The sequence below is a fragment of the Homo sapiens genome, chromosome 9, assembly GCF_000001405.40.
Source record: "Homo sapiens chromosome 9, GRCh38.p14 Primary Assembly".
NCBI lineage: Eukaryota > Metazoa > Chordata > Mammalia > Primates > Hominidae > Homo > Homo sapiens.
The window spans coordinates 121,079,915-121,101,365 of record NC_000009.12 but is presented as its reverse complement, the minus strand read 5'-3'; the positions used below and the strand labels follow the sequence as shown (position 1 = coordinate 121,101,365).

At 37.5% G+C, this 21,451-nt stretch overlaps 1 protein-coding gene across 41 annotated transcripts in view; it reads right to left on the bottom strand.

Annotated features, from left to right (window-relative positions):
* The window catches only part of CNTRL (centriolin), a 102,656-nt gene that overhangs the window by 76,245 nt on the left and 4,960 nt on the right, over positions 1–21,451 (bottom strand). For 25 of the 41 annotated variants that reach the window (XM_047422667.1, XM_047422671.1, XM_047422669.1 and 22 more), the window contains exons 2-7: positions 20,888–21,060; positions 12,823–13,070; positions 10,961–11,091; positions 6,348–6,478; positions 4,803–4,944; positions 2,794–2,980 (exon numbers count right to left, since the gene is read on the bottom strand). In XM_047422667.1, the coding sequence (XP_047278623.1) occupies positions 2,794–2,980; positions 4,803–4,944; positions 6,348–6,478; positions 10,961–11,091; positions 12,823–13,039 (808 nt within the window). In that variant the 5' untranslated portion in view covers positions 13,040–13,070; positions 20,888–21,060. Of the gene's footprint in view, positions 1–2,793; positions 2,981–4,802; positions 4,945–6,347; positions 6,479–10,960; positions 11,092–12,822; positions 13,071–20,887; positions 21,061–21,451 lie in introns of those variants that run through there. The other 16 variants (XM_047422668.1, XM_011518167.1, XM_047422682.1 and 13 more) reach the window with 3 other exon arrangements.

Sequence of the window (21,451 nt, the reverse complement as noted above, 5' to 3'; positions counted from 1 at the left end):
TGTCTTTGTTCTCATTGGTTTCAAAGAACATCTTTATTTCTGCCTTCATTTCATTAAGTACCCAGTAGTCATTCAAGAGCAGGTTGTTCAGTTTCCATGTAGTTGAGCGGTTTTGAGTGAGTTTCTTAATCCTGAGTTCTAGTTTGATTGCACTGGGGTCTGAGAGACAGTTTGTTATAATTTCTGTTCTTTTACATTTGCTGAGGAGAGCTTTACTTCCAACTATGTGGTCAATTTTGGAATAAGTGCAATGTGGTGCTGAGAAGAATGTATGTTCTGTTGATTTGGGGTGGAGAGTTCTGTATTAGGTCTGCTTGGTGCAGAGCTGAGTTCAATTCCTGGATATCCTTGTTAACTTTCTCTCTTGTGGATCTAACATTGACAGTGGGGGGTGTTAAAGTCTCCCATTATTATTGTGTGGGAGTCTAAGTCTCTTTGTAGGTCTCTAAGGACTTGCTTTATGAATCTGGATTCTCCTGTATTGGGTGCATATATATTTAGGATAGTTAGCTCTTCCTGTTGAATTGATCCCTTTACCATTATGTAATGGCCTTCTTTGTCTCTTTTGATCTTTGTTGGTTTAAAGTCTGTTTTATCAGAGACTAGGAATGCAACCCCTGCCTTTTTTTGCTTTCCATTTGCTTGGTAGATCTTCCTCCATCCCTTTATTTTGAGCCTATGTGTGTCTCTGCACATGAGATGGGTCTCCTGAATACAGCACACAGATGGGTCTTGACTCTTTATCCAATTTGCCAGTCTGCGTCTTTTAATTGGGGGCATTTAGCCCATTTACATTTAAGGTTAATATTGTTATGTGTGAATTTGGTCCTTTCATTATGATGTTAGCTGGTTATTTTGCTCATTACTTGATGCAGTTTCTTCCTTGCATTGATGGTCTTTACAATTTGGCATGTTTTTGCAGTGGCTGGTACCAGTTGTTCCTTTCCATGTTTAGTGCTTCCTTCAGGAGCTCTTGTAAGGCAGGCCTGGTGGTGACAAAATCTCTCAGCATTTGCTTGTCTGTAAAGGATTTTATTTCTCCTTCACTTATGAAGCTTAGTTTGGTTGGATATGAGATTCTGGGTTGAAAATTATTTTCTTTAAGAATGTTGAATATTGGCCCCTACTCTCTTCTGGCTTGCAGAGTTTCTGCCAAGAGATCGGCTGTTAGTCTGATGGGCTTCCCTTGTGGGTAACCCGACCTTTCTCTCTGCCTGCCCTTAACATTTTTTCCTTCATTTCAACTTTGATGAATCTGACAATTACGTGTCTTGGAGTTGCTATTCTCGAGGAGTATCTTCGTGGCATTCTCTGTATTTCCTGAATTTGAATGTTGGCCTGCCTTGCTAGGTTGGGGAAGTTCTCCTGGATAATATCCTGAAGAGTGTTTTCCAAATTGGTTCCATTCTCCCTGTCACTTTCAGGTACACCATTCAATCGTAGATTTGGTCTTTTCACATAGTCCCATATTTCTTAGAGGCTTTGTTCATTTTTTTTTACTCTTTTTTCTCTAAACTTCTCTTCTGGCTTCATTTCATTCACTTGATCTTCAATCACTGATATTCTTTCTTCCAGTTGATCGAATCAGCTACTGAAGCTTGTGCATGTGTCACGTAGTTCTCGTGCCACGGTTTTCAGCTCTGTCAGGTCATTTAAGGTCTTCTCTATGCTGTTTATTCTAGTTAGACATTCGTGCCATCTTTTTTCAAGGCTTTTACTTTCTTTGCGATGGGTTCAAACATCCTCCTTTAGCTCGGAGAAGTTTGTTATTACCGATCTTCTGAAGCCTTCTTCTTTCAACTCGTTAAAGTCATTCTCCATCCATCTTTGTTCCATTGCTGGTGAGGAGCTGCATTCCTTTGGAGGAGAACAGGCGCTCTGATTTTTAGAATTTTCAGCTTTTCTGCTCTGGTTTCTCCCCATCTTTGTGGTTTTATCTACCTTTGGTCTTTGATGATGGTGACGTACAGATAGGGTTTTGGTGTGGATATCCTTTCTGTTTGTTAGTTTTCCTTCTAACAGTCAGGACCCTGAGCTGCAGGTCTGTTGGAGTTCGCTGGAGGTCCACTCCAGACCCTGTTTGCCTGGGTATCACCAGTGGAGGCTGCAGAACGGCATATATTGCAGAACGGCAAATGTTGCTGCCTGATTGTTCCTCTGGAAGCTTCGTCTCAGAGGGGCACTATCAGCCAGCCCCTACTGGGAGATGCCTCCCAGTTAGGCTACTCGGGGGTCAGGGACCCACTTGAGGAGGCAGTCTGTCCATTCTCAGATCTCAAACTCCGTGCTGGGAGAACCACTACTCTCTTCAAAGCTGTCAGTCAGGGACGTTTAACTCTAATCTTCTTTCACTTCCTTAAACTCACAGGGTCTTTTGAGCCTCAAAGAACAAGCTGCTCCCTCCCCTTACTGCCATTCTTCACATGGCTAACCCTCTCTTCTCTTTGCTTTCGGGTTAAATGTCACTCCCTCAGAAAGCCATTCCTCTATGCCACAAAGAGGGTTCCCCTGTTACTTTGTTTTTGTTTTTTTTTTTGTCTGTCTTCTCTGCCAAAACATAAGCTGCATGGACAGCAGCACCATATGTCTTCCTTCCCATTGTATCCTTAGTGCCAAATCCAGTTGCCTGGTGCACAGTACACACTCAGTAAATATTTGTTGAATTGATTTATGCTGCCATTTCCCATGTACATTTTAATAGCATTATAAAGTTCATGATACATATTTCTAGATAACTTCTGAAAATAAATTCCTCCCTCACCCAAATTTATTATTTTTTAAATTTAATCTTACCTAAACTGAATCTCTCAAAAGCCTCCTGTCTATCCTGAGTGGTTACTGGCTGACCTTCCAAACTTTCCAATGAACGGAGGTGGAAAATGGTAAACTGGAGGTAATGAGGAAGGGTCACAACTGGATTTTCAACTAGGATCAGAGAAATCAAATCTTGAAGCGGTTTCAACTTGCTTATATCTTGGAGCTGAAATGATATAACATTAGTATTGGTATAATTTAATTTAAAAATCATAACATACTTAAAGGAAGTTACAAATCAAGGAAATTTAACATGGCAAGGAATCTATTCATGAAGCCAATTACCCAAAAGTAGTGGTGTCAGGAAAGGGAGTATATGAGTATTTATAGTGTATTTGGGCAGTATTAGGTATTTTCCATACACTATTTCATTTGTGACTCCTCACAACAACTTATCATGTAAGTATCATCTTAATTTTACAGATGAAGAAATTCAGGATCAAAGAAGTTAGGCGACTTGCCCAAAGCTCAAAGCCTTGTAAGTGAATGAAACAGGATTTGAATTCAAGTTTGTGTAACTCTCAACTTTGTCTTTTCATTATACTGATTTAACAAATCAAAAAAATGAATAGTTATAAAAAATATTTTGGTAAATCTTCAGATAACTGTGCTATAATTGACAGTTTATTCAGATAGTTTATTCTCAACCTAAAAAGGCTGAGAAACAGTACTCCAAATAGCTAGTACAAATAAATCTTCTCTCCCAAGTGAATGTGCAGCACTCTTCATAATGCCAATGTCAAATATCAATGGGGTGAGGACATCATACAAAATTAGAAATAAATATTTATTGATTTTCCTATTGCACAGCTGACACTAAGTTGACACTATCTAAGGATCAACTACTTCAGGAATATTTATGGCAAATTTTAGATCTATGGCTACCTCTTCCCATCATCCCATAGCATCAACAGCCCCAAGGTGATGCTGTACAACATGGGGTTGGGCTTGGGCTCTGAGGCTCTTGACTGTCACAGGATGAAATTAGAAAGCATAGGTATTGTTAACAACATGGCATTAAATGAATATTGCTTATTATTATTGGCCTCCACTGGTGAAGGCTTAAAGAATATAGCTTTAGACTTATTTAGTGTTTTAAAGTTTTTTTTAAAGCATTTTCACATCTATCATTTCATCTGAGCCCCCATAATACCCCTGTAAAGGAGGCAGTATAGGGATTGTTTTCCCCAAACAGTGGTTTTAGAGGGATTAAAGAATTCTCCAAGGTCATGGAAGGCAATTCTATAGAGGCCCATCTTTGAAGTCACATCTTTCATTTTCTATTCTACAACTGATGTTCATTAAATTATGGCACAATTTTCCCAATTTTAATACAAATTTAAATAAATTAACAAATTTACTAAGCAAATGCTTATTAAATACCTAGCTGTGAATAAATACCATAAGAAAATCATAAACTATATTCCAGAGAAAAATATACAACATCATCCAAATATGTAAATCATAACAAAGTTGCTCTATTATGAAAAGCTAGTGATCAACCTCCTATAACACCTAACATTATAATCAAAATAAACTGGTAAATTTGAAATTGGAAGTTAATACTGTCAAAAAAAAAAAAACCCAGAACTTTCTTCTAGGCATTCAGTGATCTGGATCCTGGCACAAAATGTGACTCTAGATAAGGGACTTAACCTGTCCTAGACCTTACTTGCTACTACCTAACTCATAGTGTTACAAAAATAATCCTTGTACTGCCTTCTTAACAAGAATGTTATGAGGCTTACATGAAATGATAAATGTAAAAATGCTAAGAGGTCAACCCTAGGTTGACCTAGGAACCCATGCAAAATGAGGACTGCTTGTATTTAATTAATCTAGAAAATCATGGGCTATGTCTGAATCTAGTGTTTAGTCAAAGGAGCAAAATCTTTAAAAGAAGAAATCCCATTTTTAAAAAACTTAGATATTTTTAATCTTTTATTTTTTAACAAGTCTAAAAATTCCTGCTATTTTGAATAACTTACCGATGATATCTTGTTGCCTTTCAAATTGAGGACTCGCAAAGATTTTAACTTCTTCCCTAACCATACTGGAATATGCTCAATTTCATTTCCTGCAAGGTTAAGCTTTTGCAGATTACACATATTTTCTATGCCTTCAATTTTGCTGGAAAGCAAAGGATAAAATAAAATTTAGTGAGTACAATTATAGAGTCTCTCCATTGTATTTTTAGAATAAACAGCTTTAGCTCCATGTTAGATTACTTTTCATAATGATAATTTATCAACTCTTTTCATAAATGAGAACAAAGAAAAGTGGCTAAAGCCAAATTTACCAGAACAGCTAAACTGCCAACTTTTTATTACTATGCCCAGGAATCCTATCAATCTTATTATTAGACTTTGCAACTCCATAACATAGAAAAGAAAAATGTGACCATGGCATTCTCACCGACTACTGTGAACAGTACTAGCAAACAGCCAGTGGAGACCTGGGAAACTCAATAGCACCCTGTCCTATCTGCTACATTCCTGTCCAAAAGATGTTCCTAATTATTGTCTTAAGTTATCATAAAAAGATTAGCTATGCCAGCAGGATATGGGAGCCCATAGATGATACTGTATTTAGGAATATAAGTAATTTAACCAGAACTTTTAAATAAAGCATTTATCACACATATTAATGAATTCTGATTGATGAAGGTTTTTCCCAAGTCACTTCTAATTTATTTGTCAATTTAATTCTTTGGTCAATTTTCTATACTGCACAAATACTTCAAAGCCTCTATCTACACTGGGTAAATATTTCTAAGCTTCTCTACTTTCAATTTTATTTTGCTGAAAATATTTTCATCAGAGTCAACTTTTTATACAAATTTTATAATAAGGGTTTGGTTCATTAATCATTTTTTTTCATTTCAGTTTTGTCATATCAGAACTTCTGCCATTGCTAGTCATTTTCTTGGCCATCATATTTACCAAGTCTAACTTGGGGGAAAAGCATGCAGATATTAAGAATTTCAAGATTTGATTCTTGTATCATTTTGTCTATAACAAGTTTTCTATATGAAGTTTTAGCCAGTGTCAGTTTTAGTATGTTTATTTCTCACAGTAATATATATTATGAATTGGAAACAGGATTGAGAGCATATTTCTTGTAGCAATAAGCAAAGAACATCAGAATCAAAACAGATTAGAACATCTTGGGGGTCAAAATGGCAGGGTTAAAACATTCTGCTTCATGTCAACATTCTTAATGTAATAAGGTAATAAATCACAGACAATATCTGGGAAAACTTCCTGTCAGAAATGAAATTAAGATACAATTTGGTGCTCAAAAATATATCTCTTTGATAATGCTAGATGTTATTCTGTACTTCAGTAATGCCAAAACATAAAGACAGTTACCTACCATATGTGAAGAGACAGACATTCATTTGATTGATGAATAAAGATAAAAATATCTTCTGTTTCTGTCAAATCATTCTTTCAGTAATGTGGATAACATTAATCTACCTCTCTAACAAAGCTATCTGCAATGCTGCCTAAAGATTTTGTTATATAACTCACCTGATTTTGTTATATGATAAGTTGAGTTCACGTAATTTTAACAGCTTGTCCAACTTTTCAATCTTCCCTATTAGATTATAGCTGAGATTCAGTACTTCAAGTTTAACACATTTTTCCAAATTCTCAATATACTAATTGGAAACAAATGAATGAATACTTTACACAACAGATGACTTGACATAAAGTACAACATTTACTTATGTGCATCAGGGTCTGTTTGATCAGTCATCAGAAAATAATATACCCTTACTGCTCTCCTGGAGAATCCCTTGATGCAGCTCTCCTTGACTAGGAGTAATAACTCTACTCAAGCTACCAAACTCTCTTTGCCCTTCAGTTGACAACAACATTGTCTATATACTAAGAAGCTCAAGACTATCCAACAAGATTTCCCTCACTGTCATTCCCTCTACCTCACTTTTGCCATACCTCTCCCTCTCATTCCCCTCCTTTCTTCCAAAAGATAGTGCTATGGTTTTAGTGTCCCCTCCAAAGCTCATGTTGAATTTAACTGCCATTGTGACAGTTCTGAGAGGCGAGACCTTCATGTGGTGATTAGGTTATGAGGGTTCTGCCCTCAGGAATGAATTAATGCCATTATCTTGGGAGTGGATTAATTATCACAGTTCAGTCTCCTTTTTCTCTCTGTGTCTCAGGATCTTTTGCTCTCTTGCTCTGCCTCACTATGGGATGCCTTCTACCATGTCATGACGCAGCAAGAAGGCCCTCCCTAGATGCAGCACCTCAATCTTGAACTTCCCAGCCTCCAGAACGGTGAGCCAAAGAAATCTTTACTCTTTATAAATTACCCAGTCTGTGGTAGTCTGTTACAGCAGCAGAAAATGGACTAAGAGACTAAGAGAGATAGCTTTCTTCTTTTTCTTTTTTTTTGCGGGGGTGGGGAGGGGGCGGGGACCGAGTCTCGCTGTTGGCCAGGCTGGAGTGCAGTGGCGCAATCTTGGCTCACTGCAACCTCTGCCTCTCGGGTTCAAGCGATTCTCCTGCCTCAGCCTCCCGAGTAGCTGGGACCACAGGCGCGTCCCACCTAGCCTGGTTAATTTTTTGTATTTTTAGTAGAGATGGGGTTTCACCATGTCAGCCACAATGTCTTCTTTTTCAAGTTAAATCAAGTACTTATGCTCTTGCATGATCTCACCTCCTCCCCCAATGCCCTTGCAAATTCAACCTCTTTCTCCCTCCTGGATCTTCCCCTCAAGTTTAAAAGCAGTCATTTTCCAACATATATTCATTACACACTTACTACATATGAGGCATTGCACCAGGTAATGGGAATATGGCGTGAACTAGATAATTCTTCCCTGCTGCCCAGAGTTTATATTCAATATGTTCAGATTTCTTCTATATAAATCACCTAGGACTAAACTTGTTTTACTATGAAGCTATCATCTTATCTTCCTTATCTACCACCAATGTTCTCACACGAATTGTCTACATTTGTTCATTCTGTCTTCCATTCATTCCTATTCTACAGGTTGACTATACCTTATTCAAAATGCTTGGGACCTAAAGAGTTTCAGATTTCAGATTTGTTTTGAAATATTTGCATTATACTTACTGGTTAAGCAACACAAATCAAAAAATCCAAAACCCAAAAATGCTCAAATGAGCATTTTCCTTGAGCATCAGGTCAGTGCTCAAAAAGTTTTGGATTTTGGAGCATTGCAGATTTTTGGATTTGGGATGCTCAACCTGTATTGGTAAGGCAATATATCTTCTACCACATCAAATGGTTCTCTCCAAGATTATAATTCATTCACCCATTCCACAAATATTTATCAAACATGGATTATGGGCCAGGAGCTGTTCTAGGTACTGGAAACAAAGTAGTGAATAAAGAAAACAAAGTTCTTGTTCTCAATCACAGAAACAGACAATAAACAAATAAATATATGGCAGGGCGCGGTGGCTCATGCCTGTAATCCCAACACTTTGGGAAGCCGAGGAGGGGAGATCACAAGGTCAGGAGATCGAGACCATCCTGGCCAACATGGTGAAACCCTGTCTCTACTAAAGATAAAAAAAAATTAGCTGGGCGTCGTAGCACGTGCCTGTAATCCCAGCTACTCAGGAGGCTAAGGCAGGAAAATCCCTTGAACCAGGGAGTAGGATGTTGCAGTGAGCCGAGATCACGCCATTGCACTCCAGCCTGGCAAGAGAGCGAGACTCCAAAAAAAAAAAAATATATATATATATAGATATATATATTACATATCTATATAGATATATATAATATATATAGATATATATTATATATAGATATATATTATATATATATAGATATATATTATATATATAGATATATATTATATATATAGATATATATTATATATATAGATATATATTATATATAGATATATATTATATATATAGATATATATAATATATATAGATATATATTATATATATAGATATATATTATATATATAGATATATATTATATATATAGATATATATAATATATATAGATATATATTATATATATAGATATATATTATATATATAGATATATATTATATATATAGATATATATTATATATATATAGATATATATTATCTATCTATCTATCTATATCTCACTCTGTCATCTAGGCTGATGCCTTCTCTTACCACCCAATCACAATTAGTCACCCTCTCCTCAGTCGCACTCTCATTCTTTTAGTCAACAAGTAAGTATTTATTTAGCACCAGGCAGTAATGCTAGAGTAGTGAACACAATGGGCAAAATCTGCCCTGTTGGTGCCTTGCATTCTGTCACAAGATGTCTTTATTTCCTTTTTAGCACTGTTTATTTTCTGAAGATCTTGTTTGCTATAAAATCTATAAAATATGTATATATTTATATATAAGCATATATAAATATATAAGCAATACATGTTTGCTATAAAAATCTATAAAATATGTATATATTTATATTTATATATAAATATATATATTTTGCCCGTTGTGTTTCACTACTCTAGCATTACTGCCTGGTGCTAAATAAATACTTGTTGACTAAAAGAATGAGAGTGCGACTGAGGAGAGGGTGACTAATTGTGATTGGGTGGTAAGAGAGGGCATCGGCCTAGATGACAGAGTGAGACCCTGTCTCAAAAAAAAAAAAAAAAAAAAAAGAGAAGACCTCACTAAGTTGAGACCTTAACAACAAGAAGCCAGCTGTATGAACATCTAGGTTGCCCAGGCTAGAGTACAATGGCGCGATCTTGGCTCACTGCAACCTCCACCTCCTGGGTTCAAGTGATTCTCCTATCTCAGCCTCCTGAGTAGCTGGGATTACAGGCGCCCGCCACTACGCCTGGCTAATTTTTGGTATTTTTAGTAGAGATGGGGTTTCATCATGTTGCCCAGGCTGGTCTCAAACTCCTGACCTCAGGTGATCTGCCCACCTCGGCCTCCCAAAGTGCTGGGATTACAGGTGTGAGCCACTGCGCCCGGCTGCTGCTTTTCTTTTAACTTATTAAAATACATCTTTCATTAAACACAATGTTTAAGTCTTATGCAGGCTAAATCTGTCAATATTTTTCCTTTGTGGTACTAGGGTTAGTATTTGCTTAGGGGGACCTTCACCACTCTAAGATTTTAAAAATATTCTCATATACTCTCTCTAATACTTTTATAGCATTTCTGTTACTTGGTGTTTTCATTTTGCTTTGTTTTCATTTAGTTCTTCACCCTTCTGGAAATACTTTTTGTGAATAATACGTGGTAGAAATCTAAGGTTTTTTTCTTCCAATTAAAGGAATTAAGTTGTCTATTATAATGTGTTCATGTTGTATAGTTTATGAATGAAGCTGTAAACACTCTAGAGCAGGAATTAGCAAACATTTTCTGTAAAAGGCTGATATGGTTTAGCTGTGTCCCCACCCAAATCTCATCTTGAATTCCCATGTGTTGTGGGAGGGACCCAGTGGGAGATAATTGAATCATGGGGGCAGGTCCTTCCCCTACTGTTCTCGTGATAGTAAGTCTCACAAGATCTGGTGGTTATTATAAGGGGGAGTTTTCCTTCACAAGCTCTCTTTAGGCCTGCTGCCATCCATGTAAGACGTGACTTGCTCCTCTTTGCCTTCCACCACGATTGTGAGGCTTCCCCAGCCACGTGAAACTGTAAGTCCAATTAAACCTCTTTCTTTTGTAAATTGCCCAGTCTTGGGTATGTCTTTATCAGCAGCATGAAAATGAACGAATACAAAGGCCAAATAGTAAATGTTTTTGGCTTTGCGGGCCATATAGTCTGTGGCAACTACTAAGCTCTGCTACTGTAGTGCAAAAACAACCACAGACAATATGTAAACAAATAAGGGTGACTGTGTTCCAATAAAACTTTACTTACAAAAATAGATAGCTGGCCTGATCTGGCCTGTAAGCTGTACTTTGCCAACCCCTTCTCTACAGAGTCAATGTTGTAAGAATATTGAGTAATAGAAACTTATTAATTTGGAAATGTCATATACTTCTGATTTAGAACATTCACTGGAAACAATAAAAGGTCTGCCACAAATTAGGTGACATTAGGATAATTTTTTTTCGCAGTATTAAAGCACAGAAAAGTTAAAAACAGTATCTATGCTCAGAAATTGTTGGTAACCTACCTTAAATTTCTTGCCACCGTCTTTAGAAAGTGAAAGGTTCAGAGATTTTATCAAAGCCAAATTATCCTGTTTAGTAAGTTTTTTAATGAGGGCCTCTGTAATATATCTAACTCCTGCATGTGAATCAGCTCCTGAAATTATAGAAACAGATCATCATCAGTAGAGGAAAGACATGAATATCACAAAGAACAAGTTGTTTTGATGTTATGTAACAAAAACAAAAATTAAGCCATGAATATACCAAAAAAGCTGGCTATTTCTAATCATAATGTTTTAATAATATTTTACTTCATAGCATTTCATAATTATAATGAAATAATGATGTAATGATTGTAATACTATAATGTATTATAATGTAATAACTATAATGTATTGTATATTACAATTAATGTATTGTAATACTATAACGTATTGTAATGTAGTAACTATAATGATACAAAGATGATAATGGTTATACACACTATAAATATTTGGTGTGTGCCAAGCTTTGGGCTAAGTGGTTTACATTTTTAAAATTTAATTTATACAACAAACCTTTGAGATAGAAATTATTAATATCATCACTTACTAAAAAAAATCATTTGCTCAAGATCCTACAGCTAATTAAGGCACAAATCCAGAACTTGAATCCAGTCAGAGGAATATAAAACTTGCACTTTTAACTATATGAAGTTTTCAGCAATATTTTCGTGTTAGTTTTTAAAAATAAACTGGTAATACTTAGTTGTTTGTTTTTTTAGAAAATTCCAATCTAAAGTTCAGAAACACTGAAATTCTTAAAAATCCTCTTTTCCTATTTTTTTATGGTAAGAAACTCTAAATTTGTTGCACTTTTAAATAGAGAAAATCACAACATATTTTATAGAGCTAGAGCAGTCACTTGATGGATGGCAAATCTGGTCTTATAACTTTCCTGGATATTGTTGTCAAAGACTGTTAATGCCACATTACATTTTACAAAAGTAGCCCTAAAAAGTAAATCACCTCTTGGTTCCTGCCTTACGAGTCAGAAAAAATTAATCCTGGGTTGAGATCCAGGCTGTGAGCCAAAGATTCTCTAAGATTATTTACAAGTTAGTATTAAATTTATTTTGGTGCAAAATAAAAAGATATTTAAATTTAACTTGGCTTGTTCTTGGAAAGAAAATTGATTAATATTCTAAATTTGATAACATTCTAAAATATTAATCAAATTAGAAATAACAATATGCCAACTTGCAGCAAAGATATAGTATAAACTCAGTGTTGTTAATGCTAATAAAACCTGATTAGAGTTTAATGGCTATTATTTCATGACTTACCAAAGAATAACTTACTTTTGAAGTTAAATGCTCTACCACTAAGCTATACCCCCAACAATGCACTTTTGAGAACAGATTCCTAGACTAACAGATGATTTTAAGAAAAAACTAAAACACTAGTGGAACATACATACATGTCCCATATGTGGAAATCAGTCCATTCACAGATAAGCAGTTTGCTAATAAGAAGACTGGCATAGGCCAAGTATGTATAACGTTTTTTTACTGAATTAAGGCGCTCCACTCTGAAGTGAACAGATCTTCCCTCCCCTTAACCAAAGAGGATGGCAAGTTTTGGGATGAGTTTTAAGACACTCTCCTACCACAGGAAACAAAGCTTCCTCTTTCTGAAAACTCCCTCTTTGAATCCACTGACATCTTTACCCTCACCCAGAAACCTCAATCCTCCAACTGTCCTTACAGTCCTTAATTTCTGTTAATAAAAACAATAGATCAAATTAGTACCAGAATGTTACAGTTGGACCAAAAATGCAAGCCGAAAATTTTCCATCTCTACTTGAAGTATGTGGTCAGACCAATTCTTAGATTAAAAAGTGATACCTTTATGGTCTTGATAGTCCAAAAGCATATTGTTTTCATCTGCAATCTCAACTTGCTCACACCACTGTCCTCCAGAATGAAAAGGTAGAGTCTCTGATCCAATCAAAGGTGAAAGTGACCTAGATCTCATATTGGACATAGATGATGGGATAGGAGAGTGAGATGATGATGGTATCTTTGCTTTGGAGAATATTTTTTGTTGAGAACCTTTCTTCATTGCAAGAATAAAGCCAGGTGTTCATCAAAACCTGTAAGAGTTTTCAGTATATTCAACAAGATTAATTTTTAAGAGTTATCAAAACTATTCTTTCTAGAACCTTCAGGTCTATAAAGTTATAAACTCAGAGGCCATAAATGCTAGGACCCATACTACTCCAAGCTGATGGAGCAGACACTGTATCAAACATCACTGATGACCTTGCCAGAGAGAAAAGGGATCTCCAGAGGGGATAGAATTGACACATGCTCCAGCTGGAAGTGTTGTCATTCCTGTTCTGTTTATTGAACCAAACTAGTCCCAAGGCCCCTTTTACCCACATAACGGGGTCCTAGAATGCAGGAAGCTGGAATATTTGGCAACCAGCAGTATTTAATACTGATGAGCACTCTCTCCTTCCTCAAAGTTTCTTCCTTTGGTTTCTGGGACACCGCATTCTCCTGGTATCCTCCTGCCTCCCTGGCCACTCCATGGACTCCTTTGCTGGCTTTTGTTCCTCCTTGCAGTGTAATTTAAACATCAGAACTCCTCATTGGTCCCTTCTAGTTTCTGTCTAATCTTATCTTGGACAAATTAATGCACACCCATGGTTCCCAATGCCATGTGTTTACTCTATTTAATTTTTTATTTTTTTTGAGACAGAATCTCACTCTTGTCGCCCAGGCTGGAGTGCAATGGTGCGATCTCGGCTCACTGCAACCTCTGCCTCCCAGGTTCAAGCTATTCTTCTGCCTCGACCTCCCGAGCAGCTGGGATTCCTGGCGCCTGTCACCATGCCCGGCTAATTTTTGTACTTTTAGTAGAGATGGGGTTTCGCCATGTTGGCCAGGCTGATCTCGAACTCCTGACCTCAGGTGATCCACGTGCCTTGGCCTCCCAAAGTGCTGGGATTACATATGGGTGTGAGCCATCATGCCCAGCCGATATTTATAACCTCAATCCAATCTTTCTCTGAGCTCCAGACTCCTATTTCCAATTGCCTACGTGATATCTCATTGGCATCCTACACTCAGTCCAGATTGAATTTATTTACCCCGTTCCTCCTCTCACTCTCCTTTTCGTCTTCCAGTGTTCCCTAAATACTGAACACTGCTCGCTGGAATAAGCCAAAAACCTGGGAGTCATTCCTGACACCTCCCTCTTCCCTTGTCCCATACTCAGTCAATCGCTAAATCCTGTTAATTCTTACTCCCAAATAACCTCTCAAATTAAGTCTGCTTCTTTCCATTTTCACTCTCACGCACTCTAATCCAAGCCCTCATCAAACTACTATAACAGCTTCTAACTGATCTGTCTACAAGCTCTCTTGCCTTATTCTTCCATCATTACATTGCAGTCAGATAGCCAGAGTGATCTATTTAAAAAGTAAATCCAGTCCAGGAGCGGTGGCTCATGCCTATAATCCCCGCACTTTGGGAGGCCGAGTCAGGTGGATCATCTGAGGTCAGGAGTTTGAGACCAGCCTGGCCAACATGGCAAAACCCCGTCTCTACTAGAAATACAAAAATTAGCTAGGTGTGGTGGCATGCACCTGTAATCCCAGCTACTTGGGGTCGAGGGGAGGAGGCTGAGGCAACAGAATCTCTTGAACCCAGGAGGCAGAAGCTGCAGTGAGCCTAGATCGCGCCACTGCAGTCCAGCCTGGGAAACAGAGCGAGACTCCATCTCAGGAAAAAAAAAAAAAAAAAAAAAAGTAAATCCAGCAGTCTGTAATGAAGGAAATCTTTACCATGACCTACAAGGTGGTCCCCCATGATCTGTCCCTATTGCTCTAGATTCACCTCTGTCATTCGTTCCCTCAATTGTGGGCTCCAGTCACACTGGCCTCCTCACAGTAATAATAATGCTTGATCTCATTCTTTTTACCATGTTAATTTGTAGTCTTCCTTCAGAGATCAGCTCAACTGTTGCTTCTTCAGGAAAGCCTCCAGTGCAGGGCAGATGAAGTGAAGTCCCCGGTTCTATACTCTCAATGAATTTGTATTTTTTCCTCACATAATCAGTTTGAAATTACACATTTATGTCATTTTGCTTAACATTTGTCTCCATTCTGAACTGTATGCTCCACGAGAGCCTGTCTGTTTTGTTTACACTGTCTCCCGAGTCTAGCATAGTGCCTGGTACCTAGCAGGAACTCAATACATATTTGTTGAATAAATGAATGAATAGAGTTATCTTCCAGTCATCCCTCTCCATCGTCCAACAATATTGATTCTATCTCCAAAATATTTTGAAATTCGTCTCTATCCATCGTCACAGCTACTGCCCTAGATTCAACTTTTATCCTCTCTTGCTTAGACTATTAAGATACTCTCAGAACCACCTTCCTTCCAGTTCTCCTTTATCCTCAATCCATCCTCTACCTTTGACCCACTTATATAATAAAAACAAAAGAAATGTAATGGTTCCCAATGCCTATGAGTCTAAACATTTTGGCACCATGCACTACAAACAGGACTCATCACAGTCTGGCCCAAACTTTCTGGCCTCCCCACCACATACCATTGCTCTAGTCATCTTTTTGTCATTGCCTGAACACATCATGAGTTTTTGCTCATGAAATTCCCTTTCCTTAAAGGGAATTCGTTAAAGGGAATTAAACATCCTCTTATTTCTCTCAACCAATTAAACTGTTACTTTTCTTGTGAAGACTTTCCAGAAATCTACTTTCTTCCTACAGAATGAATCCTCCCTGTTTATTACACTGAATATACCTACTATATATCTTTTGCTTGCTCAGAATGTAACAACCACAAGTGGAGAAGTAATCTCTGAATTCCCAGCAGCTCCATGGTGTCTAGGTCATGAATACATCTAACATCTTATAACTAGAATTCACCCTGTTTAAAAACCATACTTTCAACAGTGTGCTCTTTCATGCATGTGCTCTCTCTCTCTCTCTGTATGCATATTTTTTATTGCAATGTATCATACATAAAGTACATAAATCATAAGTGTATATAGCTTCATGAATTTCTATGCAGTGAACACAAGCTATGTAATCAGCATCCAGGTAAAGAAACAGAATATTTCCAGAATCCCAGAAGTCGTCTCATGCCCCCTTCCAGTCACTAACTCCCACACATGGGGAATCACCATCCTGACTTCCAACACCAGAGATTTTTGAACTATTTTTGAACTTTAGAGAAATGAAACCATAAAATATCTTTTAAATCTGCCTTTTTTGTTAAATATCGTTTCTGAAATCCATTCATATTTGTCTCATGCTATATGAAAAACATCTGATCACTTCAAACTTCAGTGTCTACTATTCTTATTTACAAAATCAATTTTATTGAAGTATAGATCTTCCAGAAGGAACTAAAGCATTTGTTAATGAAAGAGACCTTGGTCAAATTCCTTTAAATGTTTTCATATAAAAATATTTCTTTTCCTATATGAAAGAAAGGTAAAGTTCATGACCATTAAGGCTCAGAATGGTTTAGCACTGTGACTTGATTAGTCCTTAAAAATTACATCCTCAGCCGGGCATAGTGGCTCATGCCTGTAATCCCAGCACTTTGAGAGGCTGAGGCGGGCAGATCACGAGGTCAGGAGATCGAGACCATCCTGGCTAACATGGTGAAACCCCGTCTCTACTAAAAATACAAAACATTAGCCAGGCGTGGTGGCAAGCGCCAGGAATCCCAGGTGCTCAGGAGGTCAAGGCAGAAGAATAGCTTGAACCTGGGAGGCGGAGCTTGCAGTGAGCCAAGATCGCGCCACTGCACTCCAGCCTGGGTGACAAAGCGAGACTCCATCTCACAAAAAAAAAAAAAATGACATCCTCTTCTATCCTAGGCATACAGTGTGCTGTGCCTACAGTGTGCGTACAGTATATAGCACACTGTAGGCCTCGAACAGAGCCTAGCAAATGGTAAATAATTAACATTTATTGAATGAGTTAATCATAAATAACATAAAATGTAAAATGTACTAGTTAGTATCTCAACAAAAAATGTCTGCATGAGCAATACTAGTCCTTAACATCAAGAGTCCTACATTTGCAAGGTTAGGTGTATGCAAAAATGATTTTCATGATACACAGTTGTTCTTATAAGTACATTTAGTCTAAAAACAGTACAAAAATTATAAACTTTACAAACTTTTGGACAAAAAATATTATAAGATGTATAGATCTCGAGCAAGGCTACATTAATAATGATGCTATCTTTGCTTAGTACCTTAATTTCCCCTATAGTCACTGCTGAAAATGTGAAAACAGAAATTATTTTTTAGAAAAAAAATTTAATGAAATAAGATATTAGGTTAAAGTAGTTTTTAATCCAAGGATTTAGAGTAGCTCAAGTCTTAATGCTATATAAATTGATATTAGAAAGGGATAGTGGAATGACAAACATCTTCATATATGTGATATTGTGAAATACATACAGTCACGCATCACATAACAATGTTTTGGTCAACAACGGACCACATACATGACAGTGGTCCCGTAAGATTATAATAAAGCTGAAAAATTCCTATAACTTAGTAACATCATATATGTCATAATGTCATAGTGCTACACATTACTCACATGTTTGTAGTGATGTTGGTGTAAACAAACCTACTGTGCTACAAGGTGTACACAAGCCTGGCACATACAATTATGTAGAGTACATAGTACTTGGTAATAAATGTCCGTGTTACTGGCTTATGTATTTACTATACCATACTTTTCATTGTTAGAGTGTACTCCTTCTATTTATTTTTTAAAAAATAGTTAACTATAAAACAGACTCAGGCAGGTAGGTCCTTCAAGAGGTATTCCAGAACATAACACTGTTATCATAAGAAATGACAGCTCCATGCATGTTATTGCCCTTGAAGACCTTCCAGTGGAACAAGATATGAAAGGCAGTCATACTGATGATCCTGACCCTTACAGGCCTAGGCTAATGTGTGTGTTTGCGTCTCAGTTTTTAAGAAAACATTTAAAAAGTAAAAAAGTTTTTAAAATAGAAAAAAGCTTATAGAATAAGGTTATAAAGAAATTAATTTTGTACAACTGTACAATGTGTTTGTTTTAAGCTAAGTTTTACTACAACAGTCAAAAAGTTTTTAAAAAGTTTAAAGTTTATAAAGTAAAAACATTACAGCAAGCTAAGGCTAATTTACTATTGAAGAGAGAAAAAATGTTTAATAAATTTAGTGTAGCCTAAGTGTACAGTGTTTATAAAGTCTACAGTAGTGTACCGTAATGTCCTACACCTTCACATTCACTCACCGACTAACTGGGAAAGAAACTTCCAGTCCTGCAAGCTCCATTCATCTGGTAAGTGCTCTATACAGGTATACTTTTTTTACATTTTATACCATATTTTTATTGTACTTTTTCTATTTTTTTTTTTTTTTTTGAGAGGGAGTCTCCCTCTGTCGCCCAGGCTGGTGTGCAGTGGCACGATCTCGGCTCACTGAAACCTCCACCTCCTGGGTTCAAGCGATTCTCCTGCCTCAGCCTCCTGAGTAGCTGGGACTACAGGCACGTGCCACCACGCCTGGCTAATTTTGGTATTTTTAGTAGAGACGGGGTTTCACCATATTGGCCAGGCTGGTCTCGAACTCCTGACCTTGTGATCCACGTGCCTTGGCCTCCCAAAGTGCTGGGATTACAAGTGTGAGCCACCACACCCAGCCCCTTTTCTATGTTTAGATGCACAAATATTTACCATGGTGCTACAACTGCCTAAAGTATTCAGTACAGTAACATGCTGTACAGGTTTGTAGTCTAGGAGCAACAGGCTATCCTATACCATCTAGGTTTGTGTAAGTACATTCTATGATGTTTGTACAATGATGAAATTGTCTAACAACGCATCTTACAGAGCAAATTCTGTCATTAAGGGACACATGACTGTATGTTAAATTAAACTAAATTTTGCCTGAAAGTGCCTCTGTACTTTAAGTCTCTACATAATGAACTGCAACCTAACTTAGAAGGTAAACTAACTGAAAGCCTAACTTAGGAGTATGTTTTTGTAATAGCTGAGTCTCAGCCAATCATAGCAGCTGAGCTTCAATCACAGGCAGTCAAGTGATCGTACCATGTTCAAATAAGGTAAACACAGAGCTATAACCAATCAAGCTATTTCTGTACCTCACTTCCCTTTTCTATCCATAAATGCTGCCTGCCTACATTGCAGAATGGATCTCTCTGAATCTCTTCTGGTTCTGAGGGCTGCCCAATTTGTGAACTATTCTTTGTTCAATTAAACTGTTAAATTTAATGTGTTGATAATTTCTCTTTTAACCTATATATTTGATGTTCCTCCTGTTTCCTATCACATAGCTCTTAAAACCTTTGGGTTCTCCACAGTGATAAGAGTGTCTTTCGTTTACTAATAAGATGACTGGTGACACCCAGACAGCTTTGGGATGGGGGCCAGTCACCAGAAAGACTAAGGCATGTTTAGAGGGTTGGGACTTTAAGCCCAACCCCACAACCTTTAAGGAGGGGAGAGCAGCTAAAATTGATTTGATAACCAGTAGCCAATGATGTGAGCAATCACGCCTACATAAGTAAGCCTCCATAAAACCCCAAAAGGACAGGGTCCAGAGAACTTCCAATTAGCTGAACATGTGGAGGTGTCTGGAAGATGGCATGCTGGCGAGAGCATGAAAACTTCATACCCCTTTCCACGTACCTTGCCCTATGCAACTCTTCCTCTGGCTGTTTATTTTGTAATATCCTTTATAATAAATGGGAAAATGTAAGTAGTATTTCTCTGAGTTCTGTGACCCACTCAAGCAAATTAATTGAACCCAAGGAGGGGGCAGTGGGAGTCCCAATTTATAGCTTGGTGGTCAGAAGTATAGGTGGCAATCTACTACTTGTAATGGGCATCTGAAGTTGGTGGCACTCTTGTGGGACTGAGTCCTTAACCTGTGGGATCTGATGCTATCTTCAGGCAGACAGTGTCAGAATTGAACTGAATAAGAGGACATGCAGCTGGTGTCCACTGAAGAAGTATCTGGTGTATGGGGCAACAACCCTTACATGTCTGATGTCACAAGTATTGTACTGTGTGGTACGGCAGTAGGAAGAACATTTTGAGTTTTTCATATCTCTATTAAAAGATAATATAACTTCACAAGCATATGGGTACATATAAGCTGTGATTATACAGAAACTTCCTGCAAACTCCCAGCTTTCTAACAGCTGGCCATAAAGAAATTAAGACTCTCATTCCATAGGGGTCCTACCCAATACCCAGGAGGAAGGAATGCTGCACAGAGAGGCCAAGAGAAATCTGGAGAGGTAGGTGTTGCTGAGTTTCCTCACTCAGTCTATTAGCGTTAGATCATACCCATTTTGTCCAATCCTATTTCTATACAGCTGTCCACACTTCACTAATCCTAAGCATAAAAACGGATAATTTTTTCTGCATTTTTTGGGTCTTCATTCTGAAGGCTCCCATGACACATAAAGCTTTGATCGAATAAATTTGCTATGCTTTTCTCTAGTCAACCTGTCTTTGTTACAGGGGTGTTGGCCATGACCTTTATGATGGGCCAGAAAGGAATTACTCCCTTTCCTCCCCTACAGAACTTATACAGTATATAAAGGAGAGATTACACTAATATAATCTATTAATATATTCAATTTTTGGAATTCCTCTTTGGATTCTGCTTTCAAACTAATTCTTAAGTCTCACAAGAAAATCGGGTCCATCGCTTCAGGTACACTTTGTTTTTATTTTCCCAGTTTGATCACTAACCTTACTCAGTAAATTTGACTCCATATGAATTTTGTCTACTTCCAAAAATTTAATGAAAAGATGATGATTGAAGTTAATTCTAAAGAATATCATACTAGTGGCTAACATTTACTGAGGGCTTACCACGCACCAAATATTGTGATATTTCGTCAGGCACGGTATGTATACTTGCAGTCCCAGTTACTCCAGAGGATGAGGCAGGAGGATTGCTTGATCCCAGGAGCTCCAGGCTACAATGTGCTATGATCAACCTTGTGACTGGCCACTGCACTGCAGCCTGGGAAACACAGGGAGCCCCTGTCTCTAAAAAACAGACAGACAAATATATGTTGTGATAAGCTCTTTATGTGTATCATCATATTGAAAGAATTGAATACAACAACTCTATGAGATAAGTGTTATTTCCCATTTTACAGATGAAGATCTTAAATAATTTGTCCAAAATTCCTTAACTAATTGGTTTAGCCAAAACTTGAAATGTGATTTAATTCAAAACCCATGTTTTTAATGACCATGTCATATAGCTATCTGAGTTTCCTGGAGTCTAGATTATGTTTCCTTTGTTCTCTATGGCCTAGCATGATGCCATGGGCGGCAGGTGCCTGTAATCCCAGCTACTTGGGAGGTTGAGGAACAAAAATCACTTGAACTGGGGAGGTGGAGGTTGCGATGAGCCAAGATCGTGCCCCTGCGC